We start from the raw sequence: 18,845 nt of genomic DNA on the forward strand, positions 1-18,845 counted from the left end.
ACAAACGACCCTGGCTGTGGCCACTTACATTTTGGCTTCATAGTCCTTCCATGCCTTCTCCAGCTGTTTTTTGGAATCCTGTGGGTTAAAAAAGGACAATTTGCCCAGAGGGAAGCTGGAGCACTGGAATAAACAGTATGCTCTGCTGCCTGTAGGAGGACCTGCTAGTGTGCTCCCCTGAGCTGCTCAGAGCCCTTCTCTAACCAGCCCCTGCCCCCACAGTCCTGCTGCAAACCTGCCCCCACCAAACAGGCTCAGCTGACCCCATTTCTCAGAGCTAAGGCCCTCCTCCCAGCAGACCTTCTCCTCCCCAGAGATGCCAAGAATCAGTCAGGTTTGGTGGGCCATGGCTTGGGGTGTGAAGAGATCTTTGGGCTCTACCCTGAGTCCTCTTGCTCAGAAGAGAGATCAGTCATGACCATGAGGATGGGAGGATGAAGGCCAAATTCCCCCTGCCTAACTTTAGCCCAGCATTTTCTCCTGCCTGGTGCTAGATCATCCTCTTAGAGCAAGGGTACAGGTCAAGGAACATGCACAGAGAGGTTGAGAAGTCTACCCCAGGCCATACAGCAAACCAGGGAGACCTGACTACCCCCTGCCTAGCTTGCCTAAGCCTCATCCAGCCAGGCTGCTCACACCCTTCTGAACAACCCCGAGACTCCCAAGGTGAAAAAGCTGCCTGTCTGGTTTGTGTGGTTAGCAGGCTGGTGCCACGCTGGCAGCCTAGGGCAGGGAGGGAACCCTCTTGGGGGAGCACGGCTCCTCCCCTGGGCCGTCTGGGGCAGATTGCCCAGAGAGATTATTCTGTCACCTTCTTTGAGCTCCACTCTGCATCCAGCCAAGGGCTGCCAGGCACAGAGAAAGCAGCTCGAGTATGGGATTCAGGATCCCTGGATTCCCACATGGGCTCTCTACTTCCTAGTTATGTAAACCATCAGCAGGTTACCTAACTCCCTTGGCCTCGAATTTCAACTGCAAAATGGGGATGAGTGTACCCACAAAGCCTACCTCATAGGATGGTTGTAAGATTTACATGACATGTTTCACACAAGGGGCCTGGCAGACAGCAGGTCAGCCATCCTAGGCTGACCCGAGCCAGGTCCTCCAGACCTCCCCAGGCTCATCACTCCCGCTAAGACAGCCCCTTCACCTGGCCTCCACCCTCAGTCCAGCCCTGCCCCCCAACAGTCTCCTGCCCACCCCTCTTTTACTCTGTCCCACCACCACTCCCAGCATGGAGACTCACCTGTCGACCGTCCCTCAGCTGCCCCTTCATCAGACTGTCCAGGGGGAAAGAGACAATGTTGTTCAAGTTCTGAATCTGGAAAAAACAGAGACGCTCATTCCCGCCTCAGGTGACCGGCATCCAGCCCCTAGGGATTCGGTGTACAGTGAAGCATCACTTGGCAAAGAGAGCAGCGGGGAAGGGAAGTAGGGGAGAGGAAAAGATGTTATCAAAGAGATGACAGCCAAGTAAGGGGGACCGTCATGGCAGGAGTGCTGAGCCTGCGGGGGGGGACTAGAGGATCCAGCTCTGGGGTCTGCTTAGGATGGCTGACCTGCTGCCCGCCAGGCTTCCTGTGTGAAAGGGGGCAGGAGGGGAGGCCGAGGTGTGTCAGAGTGAGCCCCTTCCCTGATGGCTCCAGCCTCATCGCTGCACTGCTCCAGCAGCATCCCACAGTCAATCTCTCCCCTGTTCCTCGCCAGGAGCAGCCTCCCTTCTCCTCTCTGACTCTCTCAAGTTGACCTGTAGTGCACGTCTGTTGTTCTGGGCTGGCTAACGCTTCAGAGCCTCCCCTATTAATGGTCATAGAACCCCCTTTCCTGTGGGGAACTCCTCCTCTGTGGTCAGATGGGGTAAACGCAGAAGTCAGATCTGAGCAGGGCACCCCAGCCCCAGGATAGAGGGACTGGATAGGGAACAGGCACGCACCCAAGCCAGCCAATCACAATCCTCGCTGGGATTTTTCTGCCTAAGTTGTGGGAGAAAGACCATCTTTATTTTGGTAAGATGGGCATCTGGGCCTGCTGGGCTATCCTGTCCACTGAGCAGAGACAGAGAAACTACCTTAAGAGGAAAGGATAGAGCCTAAGCCAGCTGCGCCCCTGGACTTCTCATTACAGGGGCTAATGAATTCCCTTTTAAAAATTTAACCTAGTTTGAGTTGGGTTTCTGTGATTTCGCAACCTAAAGAGGCCTAATATTTCAACCAGCTTCCAAGGTACAGCTTGGGTCTCTCCTCCTCCAGGAAGTCTCTCCTGGCTACTCCTCCCGCCTGGTCTATGCTGATCTCCCCTTTTCTGAACCATGGCAGCACTAGGCCTCTGACACCAGCTGCTGGGTCCTTGAGTTTGTGCCATGCTGCTGGTATTTCTTGACACTAGTCCACACCCTAGTTTTTCTCTCCCCCACTAGACTGTGGCTCTCTGAGGCAGTCTGACACTTTCCTGTGTCACCAACCCCTGGTACAATGTCCACTAGACAGCAGACCCCCAGGAAACACTAGTTTGACTGAAACAGGGAGAGAAGAGGTGAAGACAAAGAAGGACACTAATTCAATTGAACTCAAACACTATTTTTTTTTTTGAGACAGGGTCTTGCTTTGTCACCCAGGCTGGAGCACAGTGGTGTGATCACACTCACTACAGCCTCAACTTCCCCCAGGCTAAACTGATCTTCCTACTTCAGCATCCCGAGTAGCTGGGACCACAGGCATACGCCCCCACACCTGGCATTTTTTTTTTTTTTTTTTTGAGATGGAATCTCGCTCTGTCACCCAGGCTGGAGTGCAGTGGCATGATCTCAGCTCACTGCCACCTCCGCCTCCCGGGTTCAAGTGATTCTCCTGCCTCAGCCTCCTGAGTAGCTGGGATTACAGGCACCTGATACCACACCCAACTAATTTTTGTATTTTTTCGCAAAGACAGTTTCACCATGTTGGCCAGGCTGGTCTCGAATCTCTGACCTCAAGTGATCCGCCCACCTTGGCCTCCCAAAGTGCTGGGATTACAGGCGTGAGCCACCGCACCCGGCAATTTTCATACTTTTGTAGAGTCAGGGTCTCACTACATTGCCCAGGCTGGTCTAGAGCTTCTGGGCTCAAGCGATCCACACACCTCAGGCTCCTAAACCACTGGGATTAAGGTTTGAAATGTTGCACCCAGCCTCAAACACTGTTAAAGGCTTTTTACATGCAGGACAGTGTACGAGGCACAGCTATGCCAAGAGCTATAACAATGATAGATTTTATTAGGTTGGTGCAAAAGTAATTGCTGTTTTGCCATTAATATAATATTAGCCAACATTTACTGAGCGCTTACCATAAAGTAGGCACTAACTTGCTTAATCCTCATTACCGCTCTGTGAGGTAGGCAGCATTATTATCCCAGTTTCACAGATGAGAGACCTGGGGCTTGGGCAGACTGAGTGACTTGACCTAGTAAGCAGCAGAGTGAAGATTCCAAGCTGGAGTCTAGGTCCAAGGTTGGGTGCTTAACCACTGAGCACACTGCCTCTCAAGGATGATGTGGCCCCTGCCAACCAGGGAGGATGCTGGGTAGGACTGGAGCCACAAGAGCTGGTCCAGTGCCATGGAGCCTGGAGGGAGATGAGAGGCTTTCCTGGGAGGCAGTGTAGCCAGGCTTATGCTTGGACTCTGGAGCCAGACAACCTGGGTTCAAACCGAACCGTGTGACCTCGGGCAAGCTGCTTAACCTTGAGGTCCTAGTTTCCTAGCCTGTAAGGTGGAGACAACAGTCACACCAGCCCCACAGAGCTGTGCATCCGGATCGAATGAGTGAACACATGAACTAGTGAGAACTGTGCCTGCACATGGGAAGAGCTGCTGTCACAGGGTGGCCTTGAGGAAAGGACTTGAAGGACCAGAGAGGAGGCAGTCACCAAGGAGGCCATCGGGAAGCAACCCGAGGCCACTGGGCCATGTACAGGGGCTGAGACGCTTGTGGAGGCAGGGACAGGTCCTGGGATTTAAGTACGAAGCAGATGTGGATTGGGAAAGCAGAGGACAAAGAGGGAGTGAGGAGAGGAGGAGGCGGTGGCAGCGGTGGTGGTGGCAGTGGCAGCAGTAGTGGTATAAAGGTAGGAACCCCCGAGCCTGTCTCTCCTTTATCCCAAAGCTCCTCCAGGGAACCCTCCCTTGCACGGGGCTCTTCCCTGCTGTGAGACCCCCTCTGCTCCTGGGTGAAGAGAAGGAGGAGAACAGAGAGAAGAGTTAGTTGGGTAAGAAGCCAGAGAGAAAGGAGGATTATCCAAAAGAAGGGTCAGGGCTGGAAAGGGACCTCAGGTCTGAACTCAGGTCAGAGATCAAGGGCAAATTGGGAGAAGGAAGGAAACGGACCCTTTCCCAGTCAGGTTCTTAAGACCACTAGATTTACCCTGAGTCTGGGCAAGGAAGAGACAGGGGCCTCACCAGGTTCTTGAAGAGCGCAGCAACCTCGCGGGTGAACACGGCCAAGTTTAGGAAGCCTGTGGACAGCTCATGGCTGTTCTGGGACAGGTGGCTGTTGCCTAAGGATTCCACGGCCTCTCGGTACTGCTCTTCATTCTCCACATGGCCTGTGGAGGTACAGACGGGAGCTTGGAGTTAGCTCCAGGCTGGGGCTGGGAGAGGGGCTTCCTGACCAGGCGGGGCACCCAGGAGGCTCACTTACCAAGGCCGGAGCTATGGATTGCCCGCACAGCCTTCTTTATTCTCTGCAGGATGGCTTGGTCTCCTTCCAAGATCTGGAAGCAAATGTGGACAGAGGTTCAGGGATGCCAAGCTGGAATAGGGTGCTTCCTTCAGGAACGCTGTATCTATGATTTCCACCCCCCAACCGCCCTCCAAACAAATACATTGAGTTTTGCTGTCCTCTGGAACTTATCCCTAGGGTCTTCCTGTTTACCCCACCAAACAAAAAACCACACAGAAACCACAGACCAGTCACACCACTCCAAGAAGACCACAGACTTTTCTCCCTGAATCCAATGCAGCGTAAATGTAGTGAGTCAAAGGTACGTGGCATGACAGGGTGTGCCAGGCCTGGGTTTGAATCTTGCCTCTGGCAGTAGCTGGTGTGTCCGTTAGACAAATCTGTTAACTTCTCTGAGCCTTGAGTGCCTTGTCTACAAAATGGGGATGATACTAGGGGACTTGTGGAGTTGCTGAGAAGATGAATGATTTGTAAATATGTACAAAATGCTGAGCAAAAGGCCAGAGGGGAGAACACACACATCTCTATCTTCCCTTAAGATACAAAGCAGGGTACACTTGTTCACCAAACCCCAGGCTCAATAAACAGTTATGTCAGGACAAGGAGGAAGAGGCCAGGATGCTATGGGTGAGCAGAGAGGGGTTGGAGGCATTCAGTTACCTGAGTCTGGGGAGATGGCAGAGGGTGGCGGGAGCACACTCCATCACCACTGGGGAGAACTGGAGAGACAACACCAGATAACCCCAAAGCCCAGAGGCTGCAGAACAAACATCAGAATGTGGGAAAGGCCAGAGATGTGATGGCAAGAAGCAAGTCTCACATGCCCCAAGCAGGCTCAGCCTAGATGGGAAACACTCCCCCTTTCAGTGGGGCATGGAAGTTGACAACCTCATGAAATCCTTGCGAAATGCACAGTTAACTTGGAAAACACAGAATGTCGAGCTGGAAGGGGCCCACAGATGAGAAAACTGAAGCCAAGAGATGGGAGGCCCTTACCGAGAGACACATGGTGGGGAAGCCACAGAGCTGGACTTCCCGGGTGCAACAGAACAGTGTTCCATCCATGTACCACAGCCCCACCCTGACCCCAGCCCAGCTGTTCTTCCCAGTGACAAAAATAAAATGGGATCAGAGTCTGATTTCCAGAGTTACATGACAAGAGTTAGTAAACACATTGGAAATGGTACTGCCAAAGATTCAAAATGATACCCACAGGAGAACATGCATAGGGCAGAACTCAGAGGCAATGTGGAGTGTTCTCAGAGGCCGGTGGCATGTGGGAAGCCTCTGGAGGAAGGGGGGTCTAGTTACGAAGCTCAGCTCCACTACTCGGGGGCTATGTGACCTTGAACAAGTTGCCTATTTTTTTTGAGACCAAGTTTTGCTCTTGTTGCTCAGGCTGGAGTGCAGTTGCACAATCTTGGCTCACTGCAACCTCTGCCTGCCAGGTTCAAGCAATTCTCCTGCCTCAGCCTTCTGACTAGCTGGGATTACAGGTGCCCACCACCTGGCTAATTTTTTGTATTTTTAGTAGAGACGGGGTTTCATTGTGTTGGCCAGGTTGGTCTCAAACTCCTGACCTCAAGTGATCCACCCGCTTCGGCCTCCCAAGGTGCTGCGATTACAGGCATGAGCCACCGTGCCCGGGCACAAGTTGCCTATTCTTTCTGAGCTTCCTGATTAGCCATGTGTAAAATGGGGAAATCGATGCCTACCTCTCAGGGTTGGTATGAGGGCTATATGTATGAGAGGATGCAAATACAGGATTTAGCTTGGTGCTAGGCATGGAGTATGTTCAAAATGAACAGCACCTGTGATCGTTATCATCAGCTGCTGCTGATGCTAGGAAGGTCTGCCAAGTTCCAGGTGCTTTTCCTACAGGGGCTAGAAATCTAACATTCTCCTCCTCGGGTGTGAACTTGAGACACTTTCATATTTGAGATCCGTGGAGGCCCATCCCAGGGCTGAAGAAAGAAAACAAAAGAATCAGGAAGATTAAGGAGACGGCATCATATTTGAGTTGGTTAAAACATGAGGCTGGGCATGGTGGCTCATGCCTATAATCCCAGCACTTTGGGAGGCAGAAACAGGAGGATCACTTGAGGCCAGGAGTTCAAGACCAGCCTAGGCAATATAGTGAGACCTTGTCTCTACCGAAAAGAAAAAATAAATAAATTAGCTGGGTGTGGTGGGGTGCACCTGTAATTCCAGCACTTGGGGAGGCCAAAGCAGGAGGATCACTTGAGCCAAGGAGTTCAAGACCAGCCTGGACAGCTTGGCGAAACCCCATCTCCATGTGGTGGCATGCACCTATAGTCCCAGCTACTTGGGAGGCTGAGGTGGGAGGATCACCTGAGCCTGGGGAGGTCAAAACTGCAGTGAGCCCTGATTGCGCCACTGCACTCCAGCATGGGTGACAGAGAGAGCCCTGTCTCAAAAAGCAAAGCAAACAAACAAAAAACAACCAAAATGTTTCTTACTAAAGAGACAAAGAGGTGGAGGGGAGAACGTTTCTTTCTAAACTGGCCAACAGAAAAAGAAAAAAAAAAAGAGGCAAGAACATGGCCACTTCTATGGTTCCCCAAAATCCAGATGGGGAAACAGAAGCATGTGTTTACCAAATCCCTTGATCCCCATCTTGAAACCTGGAAAGCTAAAAGGTGAGTAATTTAAGGAGCTATGATTTCGCTCTAAAAGACAATTCAGGTTAAAGATATGAACAACTGGGCCAGCACAGTGGCTCACGCCTGTAATCCTAGCACTCTGGGAGGCCAAGGCAGTGGATCACCTGAGGTCAGGAGTTCAAGACCAGCCTGACCAACATGGCGAAACACTGTCTCTACTAAAAATACAAAAATTAGCTGGGCGTGGTGGTGCACACCTGTAATCCCAGCTACTCAGGAGGCTGAGGAAGGAGAATCTCTTGAACCCGAGAGGTGGAGGTTGCAGTGAGCTGAGATGGTACCACTGCACTCCAGCCTGCACAATGGGAGCGAGACTCCATCTCAAAAAAAAAAAAAAAAAAAAAAGATATGAACAATTTCCAAAAAAATTTCCAAAATCCCTAGAGGGCAGATCCATGTACCTAGCACACAGAAGGTGCCCAATAAATGTTTACCTAAATGAATGATGGTTTGCAAAGTCCTGGGACATGGACCTGAGAGGAGTATGTTCATGCTCTAGATACATTCTGAGGAGTCTTCCCATCCCATGACACCCATTTTCTGAAAACTGCCCTCCCTTCCTCTGGAGGTGGGCCCCTGCAGCCTTGTTTGTTCTAGCCAGAGTCGACAGACACCTGGTTCAAGCTAAACCAATCAGATTCTCTCTCCCACCTGACCCAAGCTGGACCAATCAGATTCTCTCTCCAAGGACTTTGGAATTGGGCTCTGGAAAGCTAGTTGACTGACTGAAATGCTAAAGCTGGGATGTCCTTCCTGCCACATGCAGAGAGAAAAGAACAGAGCAGATGTGTAGAAAGACATGAACAAGCCCCACACCGCCACAGCAAGGCAGAAGAGGAAGAGTGGTGCTGGTTTCTGGCAACTTTCCAGATGCTACCTCTTCAGAGGCAACCTCCACACATTATGTCTTTGGTGAAATTCCATGAAATACCCCTGAATCCACCCAACGAAGTTCCTTTAAGCAAGTTTGAGAAGATTTCCCTTCCCTGCAGTGTGGCAGAGATCACTGGGTGGCTCCCAGTGTCCATTCTCTCTTCTTCCTTCACAAGAAACCTGACTTTTCAGATGGCCACTTGGCGACCTAGAATAAAGACTACATTTCCTACCTTGCAGCTAACTGTGGTCATGGGACTAAGTCCTGGCCATGGAATATAATATTTTAATTGTTAACTTCCAAAAAGTATCTTACAAAGAAGGGAGATAACCCCCAAACTCATCAAGTTGTATACACTGACTATGTATAGCTTTTTACATGTCAATCCTACCTCAATAAAGTGGCTTTAAAAAATTGAAAAATAAAAAGGAAGGGAGGGACTACACACCTGTTAGAATGGCCAAAATCCAAAACACTGACAACACCAAATACTGGCAAAGGGAGGCCGGGCACGGTGGTTCACGCCTATAATCCCAGCACTTTGGGAGGCTGAGGCTGGTGGATCACTTGAGGCCAGGAGTTCAAGACCAGCCTGGCAAACATGGTGAAACCCTGTCTCTACTAAAAATACAAAAATTAGCCAGGCGTGGTGGCACACCGCTGTAGTCCCAGCTACTCGGGAGGCTAAGGCAGGAGAATCATTTGAACCTAGGAGGCGGAGGTTGCAGTGAGCTGAGACAGTGCCACTGCACTCCAGCCCAGGTGACAGAGTGAGACTCCATCTCAAAAAAAAAAAAAAAAAAAACCAAACAAAAACACACACACACACAAATAAATAAATAAATAACCCCAAAACACAAATACTGACAAAGATGTGGAGCAACAGAAACTCCCATTGTTGGTGGGAATGCAAAATGGTACAGCCACTTCGGAAGACAGTTTGACAGTTTCTTAACTAAACGTACTCTTGCCAAATGAGTCAGCAATCATACTCCTTCATATTTTCTCAATGAGTTGAAAACGTATACATACCTGCACACGGATGTTTACATCAGCTTTATTCATAATTACCAAAATTTGGAAACAACCAAGATGTCCTTCAGTAGGTGAATGGATAAAGAAATTGTCATGCATCCAGAGAGTGAAATATTATTCATCACTGAAAAGAAATGAGCTATCAAACCATGAAAAGATGCAGAGGAAAGTTACATGCACATCACTAAGTGAAAGAAGCCAATTTGAAAAGGCTACTACATGATTTCAACTATACGATATTCTGGAAAAGGCAAAACTATGGAGACAGTAAAAAGATCAGTGGTGGCCAGGGATGGGGGTAGTGAGGAGGAACAGGTGAAGCACAGAGGGTTTTTAGGGCAGGGAAACATTTCTGTATGATGCTATAATGGTGGATACATGGAATTATACACTTGTCCAATCCCACAGAATGTACAACACTAAGAGTGAACCCTAATGTAAACTATGGACTTTTGGTGATGATGTGTCAATGTATGGTCATTGAAACAAATGTACCACTCTGGTAAGAGCTGTTGACAGAGGGGGAGGCTGTGTGTATATGGTAACTCTATGTACTTCCTGCCCAATTTTGCTGTGAACCTAAAACTGCTCTAAAAAATAAAGTCGATTTTTTTTAATTTAGAAAAAAAGGGCCTGGGGTGGGGTGGCTCACGGCTGTAATCTCACACTTTGGGAAGCTGGGGCGGGAGGATTGCTTGAGCCTAGTTCGAGGCCAGCCTGGGCAACATAGTGAGAGTCTGTCTCTACAAAAAATTAAAAACCAGGCATGGGGCATGGGCCTATAATTCCAGCTACTCAGGAGGCTGAGGTGGGAGGACTGTTTGACCCCAGGGAGTTGAGGCTATAGTGAGCTGTGATCGTGCCACTGCACTCCAGCCTGGGCAACAGAGCAAGACCCTGTCTCAAACGCACCCCCCCACAAAAAAAAAAAACAAAAGAAAAAAGGGGAATGCAAGGGTACCCTCTGTCACCCCTTTCTTCTGGCTACAATGTGCTGGCGATGTCTAGAGCTCAGGCAGCAATCCTGGACCATGAAGTAGAAGCCATTTGTTATGGATGGCGGAGCAACAAGATATCAGCCTTGTCCCTAGTGATTAGGAAACTACCCTAGCAGCCCCAGTCTACTTATCTGTGGAATTCTTTAATATGAAAGAGAAATCTCTTATTTGAGCCACTGTTATACTGGGTATTCTGCCACTTGTGGCTGAAACTAGCTCTAACTGGTAAAGGGAGACAAGTCACCCGAATCACTCACAGACTGTTTTTCTTTTCTTTTTTTTTTTTTGAGATGGAGTCTCGCTTTGTAGCCCAGGCTGGAGTGCAGTGGCACAATCTCGGCTCACTGCAAGCTCTGCCTCCCGGGTTCACGCCATTCTCCTGACTCAGCCTCCCGAGTAGCTGGGACTATAGGCGCCCGCCACCACGCCCGGCTAATTTTTTGTATTTTTTAGTAGAGACGGGGTTTCACCGTGTTAGCCAGGATGGTCTCGATCTCCTGACCTCATGATCCGCCTGCCTCGGCCTCCCAAAGTGCTGGGATTACAGGCGTGAGCCACCGCGCCCGGCCACAAACTGTTTTTCGATGCCCTTGTCAGACATCTATCAGGAAACAGCTTCCCAGCCAGATACCATTCCCGTCCCTACTGCTCTTGGCAGCCAAGTTCACATGGCTGTTTATTCATTCAATTAGTTATTGAGTGCCCACTACACCCTGTGTAAAAAAGACACAATCTCAGCCGGGCACAGTGGCTCACACCTGTAATCCCAGCACTTTGGGAGGCTGAGGCTGGCAGATCACGAAGTCAAGATCGAGACCATCCTGGCTAACACGTCTCTACTAAAAATACAAAAAATTAGCCGGGCATGGTGGCATGTGCCTGTAGTCCCAGCTACTAGGGAGGCGGAGGCAGGAGAATCGCTTGAACCTGGGAGGCGGAGGCTGCAGTGAGCTGAGATCACGCCATTGCACCCCAGCCAGGAGGGCAGTGTGAGACTCCGTCTCAAAAAACAAACAAAAAAGACACAATCTCAGCTCTCAAGGACATCATCATTGAAGGGAAGAAAAAGCCATTATAAGCAGACACTTATCATGCAATGTGATGAGGGCTATGATGGAAGGTTCCTGGGAGTCCAGGGAAAACAGAGCCATGTCTGCTTTGAAGGAATGGGGAAGGCGTCCCTTAAGCTGTGTTGCTTAACTCTGGCCCCTGGACAGGCAGAAAAGAGACTAAAGAGACTACACTATGAGGTAGAGGGGAGGGAATGCTTGGTAAAAAATGGTAGGACTGCCAGGAAGGGAGGCGTGCTCTGGGAAGAATGGACAAGGACAGGAACATAGTTCCTCCATTCATTCATTCATTTCAACAAGCATTTCTTGGTGACTGTTTCAGCCAGGCATGGTGCCAGATGGTGGGGACACATAAGACATGGCCCCTTCCTTCAAGAGAACCACAGACTTAAGAACATGCAAGTGCCCATAGGGAGCATGAAAAGGGAAAAGTTCTAATTACTCCTTTCTCAAGAAAATATCTGAAAATCATTTACACTGGTTGATAACACCTATCCTGTGGTATAATAGGGCTCAAAGATTTAAGCTAAAGAAATGCAGGTTTTTTTTTTTAATCCACTCATCCACACACTCATAAAAAAATTTAGTTTTAAGGAGACGATTCTGATAGTAGCCTGGGGAAAGGAAGGTATTTTGAGGAAAGGCAGAGGTTTCCAGAGTGCTATGATGAGTCAGTAACTAAGATTCTAGCCCCAGCATCTCCAAAATTATCTCCTTGGGTGATACTAGCCCAGCTAGTTTTCTAAACTTCCTCTCCTTTAAAATAGATTTTTATTTTTTTATTTTTTTATTTTTGAGATGGAATCTCGCCCTGTTGCCCAGCCTGGAGTGCAATGGCACAATCTCGGCTCACTGCAACCTCCGTCTCCCAGGTTCAAATGATTCTCCTGCCTCAGCCTCCCGAGTAGCTAGGATTACAGGTGCCCGCCACCATGCCTGGCTAATTTTTATCTTTAGTAGAGACGGGGTTTCACCATGTTGGCCAGGCTGGTCTCAAACTCCTGACCTCGTGATCCGCCTGCCTCGGCCTCCCAAAGTGCTGGGATTACAGGCAGAAAAATCCATTCTCTGCTTAACTCACAGAATTACTGTGAGGCTTAATGAGATCACAAACATGGCAAGGCTTGAGGCATTTGGAAAACATGAGTATGGTTCTTACTGTGGTTTGTTTTCTGCCTCTGTGTGAGATCAGCCCTCGTTTCCCATGAAACTGGATAGATGAAGGAAAAGCCAGGTGTGGCGGCTCCCTCCTATCATCCCAGCACTTTGGGAGGCCAAGGTGAGAGGATCGCTTGAGCCCAGGAGTTCAAGACCAGCCTCGGCAACAAAGTGAGACCCCCACCCCGATCTATACCAAAAAAAAAAAAAATTTTTTTTTTTGAGACACAGTCTCTCTCTGTTGCCCAGGTTGGAGTGCAGTGGTGTGATCTCGGCTCACTGCAACCTCCACTTCCCAGGTTCAATCGATTCTCCTGCCTCAGGCTCCTAAGTAGTTGGGACTACAGGTGCCCGCCACCATGCCCGGCTAATTTTTGTATTTTTAGTAGAGATGGGGTTTCGCCATGTTGGCCAAGCTGGTTTCAAACTCCTGACCTCAACTGATCCTCCTGTCTTGGCCTCCCAAAGTGCTGGGATTACAGGCATGAGGCACTGCACCCGACCATTACAAAAAATTTTTTAAAAAAGTTAGCCAAGTGCTGTGACACACACCTGTAGTCCCAGCTATTTGGGAGGCTGGGATGAGAGGAGCCCTTGAGCCCAGGAGTTCGAGGTTGCAGTAAGCTATAATCATGCCACTGCACTCCAGCCTGAGTGACAGAATGAGACACTGTCTTAAAAAAAAAAAAAAAAAAAAAAAAAAAAAAAAAAATCAGCTTCTGGGTTCAGGTGGGCCCATTTAATCCCTGATAGTCAGAGATTCTCAAGGTGGGGGCCCTCAACCAGCAGCAGGCATCATCCAGGAACTTGTTAGAAAAGCAAATTCTCCAGCTGAATCAGAAAATCTGGGGGTGAGGTCCAGCAATCTGTGGTTTAACAAGCCCTCCAGGTGATTCTAATGCATGCTAAAGTTTGGGAATTACTGTTCTAATTCTCTTCAGAGATGCAGTACATCATCATTGCTAAAAGTATGGGGCTGTCCCCAAACTACCTGGATTTGAATTCCAGCTCCACCAGGTACCTGATGTGATCTCTCAGTCCCTCAATTTCCCCATTCATAAAATGAAGATGATAATATTGCGTACCACATAAGGTTACTGGGGAGATTAAGTAAATTCTATAGGTAAAGTGCTTAGAATACTGTCCACTATTTGATAACTAAAAATGTTATCTACTTCAAAATTAAATTGAATTTGGTTTAGGAATTTCTCAACTTTCATTGAATTAATTAAACATATCTCCCCACACCCCCAACTCCATGTTGATCCTCGTCAGCAAGCTGTGGGGAAGCACAGGTGGAGAGGGACCACAGCAGACCTCTGCCGCCGGGCAGGGAGAGTGCAAGCAGCATGTCCCAAGTGCCTGCTCTGTGCAGCCTCATTACTTGTCACTATCCTGGCCACTCTTTGAGGAAGGCATTGCCATTCCCATTTTAAAGATGAAGCTGTCAGGAGGAGGAACATGTCCAAGTCACACAGTGATGAACAGTGGCAGAGCTGTAACTTTTTTTCTTTTTTTTCTTTCTTTTTTTTTGGGGGGGGGATAGACTCTCACTCTCGCCCAGGCTAGAGTGCAGACACACAATCTCAGCTCACTGCCACCTCTGCCTCCTGGGTTCAAGCGATCCTCCTGCCTCAGCCTCCTGAGTAGCTGGGTTTACAGGCGTGTGCCACCATGCCCAGCTAATTTTTGTATTTTTAGTAGAGACAGGGTTTCGCCATCTTGACCAGGCTGGTCTCGAACTCCCGACCTCAGATGATCTGCCCACCTCGGCCTCCCAAAGTGCTGGGATTACAGACATGAGCCACTGCACCTGGCCCAGAGTTACAATTTAAATCCAGGACTAGCCAAATCCAGGGCCAATGTTCTTTCCCCATCTCTAAGCTGCCCCACAAAGTTAGGGGGCACAGCTTATTTGATCTTGGGACTGGATCTGCCTCCAAACCTAAATCCCAATTCTACCACCTCTACCATATTCCCTCACCATCCCCTCAGGCTTAGGAAAGGGAGAAGGCAGGGCACAGAGGGAGATCTGTCCAAGGAAAACAAGGTTGACAGCAATGGTGAGGCCCCGAATACAAACACTGTAAAGGATGTCCTACTGAAAAGAAAACGGATTTGTTCAGGCTGGCCTCAGAGAGGATTCCCAGGACTGAGAGGTGGAAGTTAGGGAGGCAGAAACAGACTTCAGCTCAAACAGGGGACATTTCTAAGGAAGAACAGGCCACCCCTGAAGGCAGTGAGCTCCCTGTCACTTGAAGTATTCAAATACTTTAGGTGCTAGAGAGTGATTCAGACACTGGATTTTGGATTAGAATGGACAGCTATTTAGATTTCATTCAAAGCTAAGAGTCAATGGATCCATGCAAGAGCCTGGCAGGCACTGGGCAAAGGTGGCTGAAACACATCTTAGTGTAAGAGACACGTCTGAGCTTGGAAAGCCCACTGGAGTCCTTTGGGCAGCCTACCCTGGCTGGCCCTAAACAAGGCCTAAATTCCAGCTGCTGGCACTGCCCTTTGTGTCCCCTACCCTGATCCCAACATACACACACACCATGCTCTGGCTCTCTGGTTTGTGTTCTCTGCAGGCAAAAGACCACAGATGGCAGCACTAGGCCATGCCCAGCTGCCCTGCCTAGAAGGGCCTTCTGCATGCCCCCTTCTGGGTCAGGATTCATCAATAGGACCCATTCTTCATTCCCATGGTTTCTCAGAGCCAGCTGTGGTTACCAAGGCAACTCAAGCCAAGGGGGCAGAGCTGCTAGAGCTAAGGCCTTGGGAGATACAGATTACATTTCACCATTAGACATTCATTCCTTTGGACCATTATAATATAGTACATAGTTATCACTTCTGTGTCATCCCATGACCATTACAGCCATTATTATTATTATTATTATTTTGAGATGAAATCTCGCTCTGTAGCCCAGGCTGGAGTGCAGTGGTGTGATCTCAGTTCACCGCAACCTCCGCCTCCCAGGTTCAAGCAATTATCCTGCCTCAGCCTCCAGAGTAGCTGGGATTACAGGCATGCGCCACTGCACCTGGCTAATTTTCTGTAGTAGAGACAGGGGTTTCACCATGTTGGCCAGGCTGGTCTTGAACTCCTGACCTCAGGTAATCCGCCCGCCTCAGCCTCCCAAAGTGCTAGGACTACAGGCGTGAGCCACCTCACCCGGCCCATTACAGCCATTATTATTATTATTATTATTATTATTATTACTATTTTTGAAATGGAGTCTTGCTCTGTTGCCTAGGCTGAAGTGCTGAAGTGCAGTGGCGTGATCTCGGCTCACTGCAAGCTCCACCTCCTGGGTTCATGCCATTCTCCTGCCTCAGCCTCCCAAGTAGCTGGGACTACAGGCGTGAGCCACCACGCCTGGCCCATTATAGCCATTATTAATCGATCACAGTGTTTTCCCCACTGACTGTGGATTTGGTTCATCATTCTGTTAAGATATGATGGTAGCCTCTACCAATTAAACTAGAGTTGGCAGAGGAGATGAAAAACATTTTCTATCTTTGCTTTGGACTATGGTGTTGTTCCTTAAGAGACGAAGTCACAGAATATTAGAGATTATCTAACATTACCTCCTCATTTTACAGACTGCAAAATAAAGGCTCAGGTGAGTTTCTTGCCCCAGGTTTCACTGGAAATGCAAACAAACTAAGAAACAAATACAAACTAGGTCGGCGTGGTGGCTCACGCCTGTAATCCCAGCACTTTGGGAGGCAGAGGGAGGTGGATCACGAGGTCAGGAGTTCAAGACCACCCTGGTCAAGAGGGTGAAACTCCGTCTCTACTAAAAATACAAAAAAAATTAGCTGGGTGTGGTGGCAGGTGCCTGTAGTCCCGGCTACTCAGGAGGCTGAGGCAGAGAACTGCTTGAACCCGGGAGGCAGAGGTTGCAGTGAGCCGAGATCACGCCACTGCACTCTAGCCTGGGTGACAGAGTGAGACTCCGTCTCAAAAAAAAAAAAAAAAAGAAAAAGAAAAAAAAAATACAACCTAAAACTTGTATAGAGCTTTACAGTTTGTAAGGGAGTTTGACACCCACCATTTCAGACACACAGCATCTTAATGGGGCAGTCATCATTTTTGTTCCCATCTGGCTGATGAGTCAGCGAGGCACAGAACAGTGAAGATCATTGCCTGAGCTCACACAGCCAAAATGTGGACCTGGGAACTAAACCGTTAAGACTCTAACTCCCTTGTTCATTTCCAGGCAATGGACCCAGACCCTGAAGGTCCATGGTGTTACTAGCAGGACACTGTGAAGCCACACTCATCATGAGCACTACTGACGAGTATAAAAATGTTTCACAAATTAGTCTGACCACATTCCAAATATGTGCAACTCTATGATCAATAAGACACAGAACCCTTTAAAAGCATTCTTGAATTCATTTGTTCTTTCCCATATTTTTCAATCAATCAATACTAACAGTATACGTGATGTGGGAAGATCAATGAAACTCCAACGCTAAAAAGGAGTTTTCCTGTGGGATGGCTGAATCCTGGCTCTTTGGTCTCTGACGCCAGTGTCCACAAAGATGATTAAATTATATGTACTACATATTAAACATGATGCTAAAAATACAACGTTTGGCAGGGTGCGGTGGCTCACGCCTGTAATCCCAGCACTTTGGGAGGCTGAGGTGGGAGGATCACGAGGTCAGGAGTTTGAGACCATCCTTTAGTTGAGATAGGGTGAAACCCTATCTCTACTAAAAATACAAAAATTAGCCGGGTGTGGTGGCTAATTTTTGTAGTCCCAGCTACTTGGGAGGCTGAGGCGAATCACTTGAATCCAGGAGGTGGGGGTTGTAGTGAGCCGAGATCACACCACTGCACTCCAGCCTGGGTGACAGAGTGAGACTCCATCTCAAAAAAAAAAAAAAAAAAAAAGTACAATACCTGAATGAGCAAACCAAGTTACACTTAAAATATTTAACAAAATGATAAAGTACAAAAAAAAAAACAAAAAAAACCCAGGGCTTCTCACTTCTAGATCCAATTACCAATTTACAGAAAATGCAGGTCAGGTGTTGTGGCTCCTGCCTGTAATCCCAGCACTTTGGGAGGCCCAAGTGGGTGGATTGCTTGAGCCCAGAAGTTTGAGACCAGCCTGGGCAACATGGCGAAACCCTGTCTCTACAAAAAATACAAAACAATTTTCCAGGCATGGTGGCACACACCTGTAGTCCCAGCCACTTGGGAAGCTAAGGTAGGGTATCACTTGAGCCCAGGAGTCCAAGGCTGCAGTGAGCTCTGATTGCACCACTGCACTCCAGCCTGAGCAACAGAGCGAGACCCTATCTCAAAAATAATAATAACAATAATAATAAATAAAATAAACTCAAACCCAGGCAGTTGGGCTCCAGAGTCCATGCTTTTAACCAAACCTCTAGGTTTTATTCTATAAGTGATGGGGTGCTCCTGAAGGGTTCTGAACAGGGCAGTTACTTGGTAATTCTCAACATAGAAAGTTTAACTCCAGGGCTGGGCTGCAGATCCATGTTCAAGCGGGACAAAGAGGGTTCAGCCTTGTCCCCCAGGCATGACAGGGTGATAGGAACACAGCCAGGCCCTGGCCCGGAGCAGATCACCCAACAGGAAGGACTCCCATTCCAAGCTCCCAGCTTGAGTCTATTATTAGCATGAATTCAACTACCTATCGCCCCACTAACTGACTGCTCACTTTGGGGCAGGCATTTTATGTTTGTTACCTGGCCTATTCCTCCCAACAACTCTGTGAGGTAGTTATTATCCTCCCCATCTTACAGATGAAGAAACTGAGGCTGGGGTAGGTTAGGCAGTTTGCTCAAGGTCATGTAGGAAGTTCTAAGAAACGCAGAGACCTCTGCCTCCAGAGCCCTTTCTTGCTATCACACTAAAGCAAACTACGAGCTAAATCTTCTCTCTCTGAGCCCCAGTTATCTCTGTAAGGATTGCTGTGAAAAGAAATTGAGGTAATGTTTTTTCTAATGGTGGAAGCCAGGCATCTTCAGAGGTGCTGCAGAAACATTCTGAGAGAATGGCCTTCTACTGCATATAGAACAAGGCCATGAGACCAAGAGCCCTGAACTGGAAAGTGCTGAATTTTAGGGCTGTCTCTGCCATTAAGCCCTCAGTGTGCCTCTGAGCGAGTTCCTTCCTCCTTCTATGCCTCAGTTTCCTCATCTGTCCAATTTTGAGCTAACAGACACGAGCTCTAAATCCCCTTCCAGGCCAAAGCGCTAGGACACAGTTGAGGTTAGTCATACCCTACAAGGCTGCTCCAACCTCAGCCACCAGCAAGAGTGAGCCAAA

General features: G+C 48.6%; 1 protein-coding gene across 9 annotated transcripts in view; it reads right to left on the reverse strand.

Annotated features, from left to right (window-relative positions):
* ASAP3 (ArfGAP with SH3 domain, ankyrin repeat and PH domain 3) overlaps positions 1-18,845 on the reverse strand; it is a 56,069-nt gene that overhangs the window by 22,888 nt on the left and 14,336 nt on the right. For 8 of the 9 annotated variants that reach the window (XM_017001687.1, XM_047424481.1, XM_017001688.3 and 5 more), the window contains exons 2-5: positions 4,672-4,744; positions 4,431-4,576; positions 1,247-1,321; positions 29-78 (exon numbers count right to left, since the gene is read on the reverse strand). In XM_017001687.1, the coding sequence (XP_016857176.1) occupies positions 29-78; positions 1,247-1,321; positions 4,431-4,576; positions 4,672-4,744 (344 nt within the window). The remainder of the gene's footprint in view (positions 1-28; positions 79-1,246; positions 1,322-4,430; positions 4,577-4,671; positions 4,745-18,845) is intronic. The other variant, NM_001143778.2, reaches the window with a different exon arrangement.

The sequence above is a fragment of the Homo sapiens genome, chromosome 1 (genome assembly GCF_000001405.40).
Source record: "Homo sapiens chromosome 1, GRCh38.p14 Primary Assembly".
Lineage (NCBI taxonomy): Eukaryota > Metazoa > Chordata > Mammalia > Primates > Hominidae > Homo > Homo sapiens.